Source organism: Homo sapiens, chromosome 1 (assembly GCF_000001405.40).
Source record: "Homo sapiens chromosome 1, GRCh38.p14 Primary Assembly".
Taxonomy (NCBI): Eukaryota; Metazoa; Chordata; class Mammalia; order Primates; family Hominidae; genus Homo; species Homo sapiens.
The window spans coordinates 187351187-187360530 of NC_000001.11; the positions used below are offsets into that span (position 1 = coordinate 187351187).

Sequence of the window (9344 nt, forward strand, 5' to 3'; positions counted from 1 at the left end):
TTATAAGCCACACAGTCTATGATACCTTGTTATATTAGCCCAAACTCGCTAAGACACCTGGATGTCCAGTTGTTTTCCAGTGGCTGGTCTACCCATAGCTATAGATGCCTGGCCTCTTTTGCCCAACTTTGGCAACTCTGAAAGCTAGTCCTACCATCAGCTCTCCCACTGGGTTTGCCACCTTACCGTGACTGGATTGCAGTCTAACTTCCCTCTAGACAATCCTGCTTTTTTTCTTTCTGCTTCTTCATTTCGCCCCCCAAAAAATGTTGATCCTGAGAGCATTGTCAAATAAACTTCCTGCATGCTACTCTTCTTGGAGTCATTTTACCAAGGAACTCAATCTGGAATACCCACACTTTGCACAATTGAATTATCTGACTTATTAAAATTGTTATAATACATTTGGCTATTTCACAAAAATGCCGGTTCTCTCCAAATAACTTACTCATGTAAAGCATTTTCAAATATAATTCCAATAGAAACTTCTTGTAGAAATTGAGAAAATAATTTAAAAAAATTATCTTGGGGACCAAAGGATGAAATTTGCTAATTAAAAAGAAGAAAAAAGGGACATGTGTGAAAATGGCCATATAACATCACCCAGATGTCAGCAAATTCACCAAAAAAATATACATGGAAACTGGATATGACGAAGAAGACATTTAAGATAGTGTGGAAAGAATAATTATTCAACCAGTGGTCTTAGTACAACTGGTTTTCCACATGGGAAAAAAAAAGTAAACCCTCCTTACATCTTACAAAAACAAAATAAAGATTAATTAACCATAAATGTGAAAAACAAAACTTTAAAACTTCCAGGAAAATGTAGGAAGCTATGTTATGATTTTAGGTGGGGAAGAACTTTTACATTGCAAAAAATACAAATTATAGGAAAAATTCTCCAACATAAATATTAAAAAATAGAAAATTAAATGCATAAAAGCAATAGCAACAAAAGCAAAAATTGACAAATGGTATCAAATAAAACCAAAGAGTTTCTGCACTGCAAAAGACGCTATCGCCAGAGTGAACAGACAACCTACAGAATGGGAGAAAATATTTGCAATCTATCCATCTGACAAGGTGTGATATCCTGAGTCTACAATGAACTTAAACAAATTTACAGGAATAAAACAAACAATCCCACTGGGCAAAGAACATGAACAGATACTTCTCAAAAGAAGGCATTCATGCGGCCAACATGGCACATGTTTACCTATGTAACAAACCTGCACGTCCTGCACATGTACCCCAGAACTTAAAATAAAAGTTGATTAAAAAAAATAGAAAATGTATCTTCATTAAAATATAACATGCTCAATGCAATGTGGTATTCTGGATTTAATTCTAAAACAGAGAAAGGATATTAGGGGGAAAATTGGTGAAATAAAAACAAAGCGCAGATTTTAATTTATAGTAGTATAACAATGTTGGTTTATAAATTGTGGTAAGTGTACCATATGTATGTAAGATGTTCACAATAGCAGAAACTGGATGAGGGGTATATGGGAACTCTGTACAATCTTTGAAGCTTCTAAGTAATTCTAAAATTATCCCACAGTACAATTTTAGTATTTAAAATGATAGTAAAAAGCAAAAGCAATATGAAAACTGGTATAAAATATTCTATAATATATATCAAAAATTATTTTGTGTCCAGAATATATATTTTTGCAACTCAATATTTTTTTAAAATAAAACCCAGTGAAAAAATTAACTACAGCTTCACAATAGATGAATCTTAATAACATGCTACAGCTACATAATATTGAGCAAAACCCAAGTTGCAAAAGGTGTAAATGCGACTATAGATATAACATTTTAAAATATGTAAAATAATTTGCTTAGATATATACTCATGTAATAAAATAATAAATAAATAAACTGATAAGCTCAGATTTTATAAAAAGGGAGTATACATAAAGGACTTTAAATACTTTATTTCCTAAACTGGATAGTATATGCAAAATATACTTGTTTGTACAACTTATATATTGCATGAGAAACATTAAGAAACACATTTTTAAACATTTGAAAATCATATAAAAAAGAAAACATGTGTATAAAATTAGATTCTTTCTTAGAAAAGTTTGGACACAAATATAGTTGACTGATCTTTCTTTTTATTTATCTATTTATTATTGAGATGCAGTCTTGCTTTTTGCCCAGGCTCGTCTTGAACTCCTGGGCTCAACGATTTTCCTGTCTCTGACAAAGGTGCAGAGGCAACGAAATGGTCATTTTTCAACAAATGATGCTGGACCAATTGGACATCTACATCTGCAAAAAATGAATCTAAACATAGACCTTACACCTTTTATAAAAATTAACTCAAAATGAATCATAGACCTAAATGCAAAATGCAAAACTGTAAAACTTGTAGGAAAAACCATAGGTATAATCTAGCTGATATTAAGTTTGATGATGAATTTCTAGATAAAACAACAAAACAATATATTAGTTGGACATTATTAAAAATAAAAATTTCTCTGCAAAAGACATTGTTAATTAAAAGGCAAGCCACAGACTTGGAGGAAATATTTGCAAAAAAATTTAGACAAAATATGTGAATAGACATTTCACCAAAAAGATATACATAAGGCAAAAAGCATGAGAAAAGATAATCAGCATTGTACATCATTAAGGACTTGCAAATTAAAACAAGACATACCAATACAAACCTTCTAGAATGACTAAAATCCAAAAACCCTGAAAATACCATTTGCTGGCAAGAATATGGAGCATTAGGAAATTTCATTTATTGCCGGTAAAAATGCAAATGGTACAGACACTTTGGAAGACAGTTTGACAGTTTCTTACAAAGTTAAACATACTTTTACCATAGGATCCAGTAATCACACTCCTATTTACCCAATTGAGTTTAAAACTTAGGTTCCATGAATGTTTATTGTAGCTTTATTCATGATTGCCAAAACCTGGAAGTAACAAAGATGTCCTTCAATAGGTGAATAGATGAACAAATGATGGTACAGCCATATAATCAAACGTTATTCAGCTATAAAGAGTAGTAAACTATCGTCCGGGCGCAGTGGTTTACGCCTGTAATCCCAGCACTTTGGGAGGCCGAGGCGGGCAGATCACGAGGTCAGGAGATCGAGACCATTCTGGCTAACATGGTAAAACCCCGTTTCTATTAAAAATACCAAAAATTAGCCGGGCGTGATGGCGGGCGGCTATAGTCCCAGCTACTCGGGAGGCTGAGGCAGGAGAATGGCGCGAACCTGGGAGGCGGAGCTTGCAGGGAGCCGAGATCGCACCACTGCACTCCAGCCTGGGAGACAGAGCGAGACTCCGTCTCAAAAAAGAAAAAAAAGAAAAAAGAAAAAAGAAAAAAAAAAGAGAGAAGTAGTAGTAAACTATCGAGATGCAAAAAGGCATAGAGAAACCTTAAGCGCATATTATTAAGTGAAAGAAACTAGTCTGAAAAGTCTATGTACTGTGTTGTTACAAACACATAACATTTTGGAAAAGACAAAACTATAGACACAGTAAAAAGGTTACTAGGAGTTTATGAGGAGAAAAGAGGGATGAATTGTGACACACAAGAATATTTAGAATAGTGAAACTATTCTACAGGATATGGTAATGAATTGATACATGATTTATGCATTTGTCAAAATCCATAAAACAATATAACACAAAGAATGAAACTTAATGCAAAAATTTTAATAATCACAATCTATTGATATTGGTCCATTATTTGTAGCAAATGTACCACACTAATACAAGACATTAATAACAGGGGAAACTGTATAGGGGAATGGTGTATGACAACTTTGTGTACTATTTTCTATTGGCTCACATTTTTGTAAATCTAAAACTATTATAGTAAAAAGCCTATGAGTTTTAAAAGATGCCCTGACACTGATAACACACATAAAAGAAAAATCTAAGGATATCCCCATAATTAACTGTGAAAGCTTTTATGCTTTCTTCTAAGACTGGGAAGATTTTTCGGTTGATTGCTGTCACCACTTCTACTCAACTTGTATTGGAATAAATTAAAGTCATACAGTTTAGAAAGGGAAAATAAAACTATCAATACTTAAAAGTAAAATAATTTTTTTGCAGAAAATCCTGAAGAGTCTATCAAAAATCTAATAAAACTAAGAAGTTGGCTTAAGAAAGTCAAAAAATTCAAAAATTGATTGTATTTCTGTGTATGAACAATAAACAATTAGACGATGAGGCTAATATAAAAAGTTTAATTTAAAATAACACCAAAAACATGAGATTTTTAGCCACTTTAAGTTTTCTCTGCTGAAAACTATACAACACTGATAGGAGAAATCAAAGACAACCTAAATATACCATGATCCTGGATGGCAAGAGTCGGTGTTGTTCAGACACTACTTGTCCCCAAATTGTTCTATGAATTTATCATAATTCACTGAAAATCTCAACAGTTTTTTTTCATATGAACCATCATGTTGATTCTAAAATTTATAAGGAAAATCACGGAATTTTCATTGGCCACAACAATTGTGAAAAAGTTGAAGTATGCACACTATCTGATGTCAAGACTTTCCTACAGTAATTAAGACAGCATATTCACAATAGCAAAGACATGGAATCAACCTAAATGTCCATCAGTAATAGACTGGATAAAGAATATGTGGTCCATATATACCTTGGAATACTATGCAACCATAAAAAAGAACAAGAACATGTCCTTTGCAGAGACATGGACAGAGCTGGAGGTCATTATCCTTAGCAAACTAACACAGGAACAGAAAACCAAATACTGCATATTCTTACTTATAAGTAGGAGCTAAATAGAATACATGAGCCCATGGCAGGGAGCAACACACAACAGGGCCTACTGAAAGGTGAAGGATGGGAGGAGGAAGAGAATTAGGAAAAAATAACTAATGGGTACTAGGCACAATACCTGGGTGATGAAATAATTTATACAACAAACCCCATGACATAAGTTTACCTATGTAACAAATCTGCACATGTACCCCCGAACTTGAAATAAAAGTTATTAAAAAGTGTAATATTGGTGAAAGAATAGATACATAGGTCAATGGAACAAAGTGCAAAACAGAACTTGCATATATATAGTTCATTGATTTTTGACAAAGACTCAAAGGCAATTCAATGCTAAATGATAACCTTTTCAACAGAGTGCTGAAACAACTAGACATCCATATTTAAAAAGGAACTTCAAATCATACCTTGCAGCATTTTAAAATTTAAATGGATCCTAAACCTAAATAATAAACCCAAAGCTGTAACATTTCTAGGCTATGTCATAGAAGAAAAACTTTGGTACTCTAGGTTAGAAAATGTTTTCTTAAGTAGTACACAAAAACACAACTCATAAAAGAAAAAATGATCAATAGGAATATATCAAAATCAACAGCTGATGCTCAAATGACCATATTAAAAAATAAAACCATAAGCTACAGATTGAGAAAAATATTGTTAAATATATATCTGATACAAGTCTGCTGAGATTTTAAAGTTTCTTAAAACTCAACCGCAATAATAATTTTTAAAACAGTAAGAAAAAATGGGCAAAAGATGGCCCATTCACCTAAGGAGATAGACATTTGGCCAATAAATAGATGAAAAGATATTAACCATCACTATTCACTAGATAAATACAAATTTTACAAAGAAAATACTACTAACACCTTTTAATATAACTACACTTTTAAAAAGTGATGGTATGAAGTGCTGATGGGATATGGTATAATTGGCAGATAGCAATTGATAAATAAATTGCAATGATTGCTCAAAAATTGATTGTATTTCTGTGTATGAGCAATAAACAATTAGATGATGAGGCTAATATAGCAGAATTACAAAACAGCACAGCCCCTTTAGAATACAGTTCCCAGTTTTTTATAATAAAATAAATTGTCATTTATCTTGAGATGCAGCAATCCTACTTCTAGATATTTACCCAAGAGAATTTAAAACATGTTCACATAAGAAGAATCTATACAATATTTGTTCTATCTTTGTTCATAATTACCAAAATCTGGAAATAACCCAAACGATTTTTCAATAGATAAATAGGTAAATAAACCATAGTACATCCTTTAAAATGGAATGCTATTCAGAAATGCAAAAGAACGAACTATTTCTGACACAAGCAAACATATGCATGGATTCCAAATGCATTATGCTAAATGAAAGAAGTCAGATTCAAATGGTTACATATTATATGATGTTTATTTATAAGACATTTTGAAAAAAGCAAAAGTAAAGGAATGGAAACAGGTTAGCAATTTTCAAGGACTTATGGGGATAGGAGACTGATGACAAAGTGTTTTGAGGCAATTTTTCGTGGTGTTGGAATTATTCTTCATTTGATTTTGATACTGTATTAGTCCATTCTCACTCTGCTAAGATACTACACAAGATTGAGTAATTTATAAACAAAGGAAGTTGAATTGGCTCACAGTTCCACAAGGCTGCGGAAGCCTCAAGAAACTTACAATCATGGAAGAAGGGGAAGCAGACACCTTCTTCACAAGGCAGCAGGAGAGAGTGTGTGTGTGTTAAGGAGGGACTGTCAAACACTTATAAAACCATCAGATCTTATGAGAACTCATTTACTATCATGAGAACAGCATGGGGGAAACCACCCCCCATGATCCAATCATCTCCCATCAGGTTCTTCCCTGGGTACTTGGGGATTAGAATTCAAGATGAGATTTGTGTGGCGACACAAAGGCAAACCATATTAGATACAGTTGATATGTATCTGTAAGAATTTTACTGTATGTGTATTTATACTTCAATGAACCTGAACTTAAAAAAAATGTTATCTGTTTATTTGATTAATTTTGCCTTCAGTGGTATAGATTGTCTTTATTATATTTTTCCTTTAAGAGTCTGAATTCTTCAAAGGTTTAATAATTTTTTTCTTCGGTAGAACGTATTTCATTTCTAAAGATGAAGGAAAAAAAAACTAGGCCCAGTGTGTGCTACTGTGGAGGACTTGGGAGTGAGATGGTGTCTTGCAGGCACCCCTGGTTCTCTGTTCTCCCTTAATTGTTTTCCTTTAGATTATCTCAGTCCTGAGATGTTGAGTGTAGATTTGTGGAGAAGGCTTAGGAATCATTCCACTTGTTCTGGCTGCTTTGTTTTTACAGACCAATGGGTATCCAAGAATGTGTTGGTATAATCCAGGCACTTTGATGTGGCTTCCCTTTCTCATTCGCCATGCACTTCTGTAGCTGAAATTCTATCTTTTGAGCAGGGAGAGTATACTCAAACATCCAAGGGAGAAGCACTAGTAGGTGTTTTTTTTGTTTTGTTTTTGTTTTTTTTAGCTCCCTTTTCCCCTTCCCCTTCATTTTTTGGAGGAGGCAGGTTTTGTATGCACTATGAGATTTTTCTTTATTATCCGTTGAATTTTACAAGTAAAATGGAGCAGGTGCCTCCCTGTTCTGAACTGTTTACCCAAGAAATAAAGGACTAAGCATAAAATGTAAAAGTTAACTCTATGAGCATATTTCTAAACCTTAAAACCAGAAATAAAAATAAAGAGAAACTGCAAAAATCCTTTCTGGGCTAACTTAATATTCTACTTTAGGTCTTATTTGTTTTACCTTTAATAAAGTGTGCTTTATATTCTCTTCAGTTCAACTTTTAAAAAATATTTTGTTTAATGGGTGTTAGTCCACTAGAATTTTAATACCTCAGCTATCTTAGGACTTTTCTCTGTTTGATTAAATATAGCATTAGTTGTTGATGAGAGGTGGCATACTGTCTTGTAATAAGGGTAAGGAGACTTAGATTGATTACATAAATGATTTCACAGTGAATTTGTTTTAACCTAAATATAACTATGCCAGAAAGTACTCTCATAACTTGGGCTGGAATGAATATTTCATGCTCATCATTAGAGTGACATTTTTAAAACTGTATTTCTTTCAATTTACTTATTTGCAATTTTCTATGTTTCATTAAAGTTTAGTTATTAGAAATGTACATTATTTTCTGTATGATGGATTTCACAATAAATTGGAACCAAAAGGCAAGTGTCCATGTTTTCAGTTCTTCTAGAAACTAATTTACTTTTCTCAAAACTTTAATGCAACTTGCAAAAAGATGTAAGTAGAGTATTAAAATGGGGAAGAAATATTTTGGTATAGACCATTTAAAAAGGAAGCAGTAGCTCTCAATAATACTTATTGAACATAAACTCTATCCTAATAATATTGCTTAAAAGGAGTGCCAAAATGCTCATTGTGCATCTCCTATGGCTGATTCAATATAATATTGCCAGGTTTAGATAGCCTGTTTTGTCTGGAACATTGATATTTAAAATACTATTGTTCTTGACTCTTCCTTTTCTTTGTATAAAAAGGAATATACTTTTCTTGGATATTTAGATAGAAGTGATGACGCCATAGACTCCAATCTGTCCAAGATTTTTATAACAAAGTTCAGTTCTTAAGAAAAATTTGTTTGTCTAATTTAAATACATGCCATAAAATTCCCTCATTTGATTTTATCCTTTCATGTTTTAAAATAAACAGGACAGTGTACAAATCATGAATTCAAATAACCACCATGCAGGTCAAGAAGATAAAATCAGCAGCACATTCCAGGTCACCCTCTTGTCTCTACCATCCCTTCTCATCTCTCCAAATATGACCAATAACCTTAGTTTTGTCAGTGTTTGGAATTTGTATAAATGTGATTGTACAGAATGTACCCTTTCGTATCTGGTTTCTTTCAGTCAATACTATGCCTATTTTATTTATTCATGTTAATGAATGGAAAAATAGTTCATTTATTTTAACTTCTGTTTGGCATTCCGTTGTGTGATCATTCTACAATATATGTATTTTACCTATAGCTGGTGGGCTTTGTGCGGCTTCCAGAATAGTAATGTTATATATAGTGCTATTATATTCATTTTTGTATGAATACAAATGGTACCTTTGTTTTGTTTTGAATAGGAGGGGATTTACTAGATAAATGGGTTATGGGTGTTTTCAACTTTGACAGACCCTAAAAGTTTCTCAAAGTAATAGTACCAAATTACCTTCTCACCAGGAATATAAGAGGTCTATTTTTTTCTAGGTCTTTGGTGATAACTGCTGTTTTAGCCTTTTAATTTTGTCATATTTGTTGATTTGCTGCAGTATTCCATTGTTATTACTACTTTTTTTCTGATGATTTATGTGATTGAACACCTTCTGATATGTTTATTGGCCATATGAATATCTTTCTTTTAGAGTGCTTGATCAAATTTTGTACATTTAAAATTTTCCTATTTGTTTTGTGTTTTTTTTTTTTTTGGTAAATGTTCTTGATACCTTCTAATTATTAACCCTTTTCAATAACAT

General features: G+C 32.5%; 1 long non-coding RNA gene across 1 annotated transcript in view; it reads left to right on the forward strand.

The window, feature by feature from the left end:
• LINC01036 (long intergenic non-protein coding RNA 1036) overlaps nucleotides 1-9058 on the forward strand; it is a 267403-nt gene extending 258345 nt beyond the window's left edge. The window contains exon 4 of the long non-coding RNA NR_126347.1: nucleotides 8529-9058. This is a non-coding gene — a long non-coding RNA (long intergenic non-protein coding RNA 1036). The remainder of the gene's footprint in view (nucleotides 1-8528) is intronic.
• Nucleotides 9059-9344: the final 286 nt, after the last annotated feature.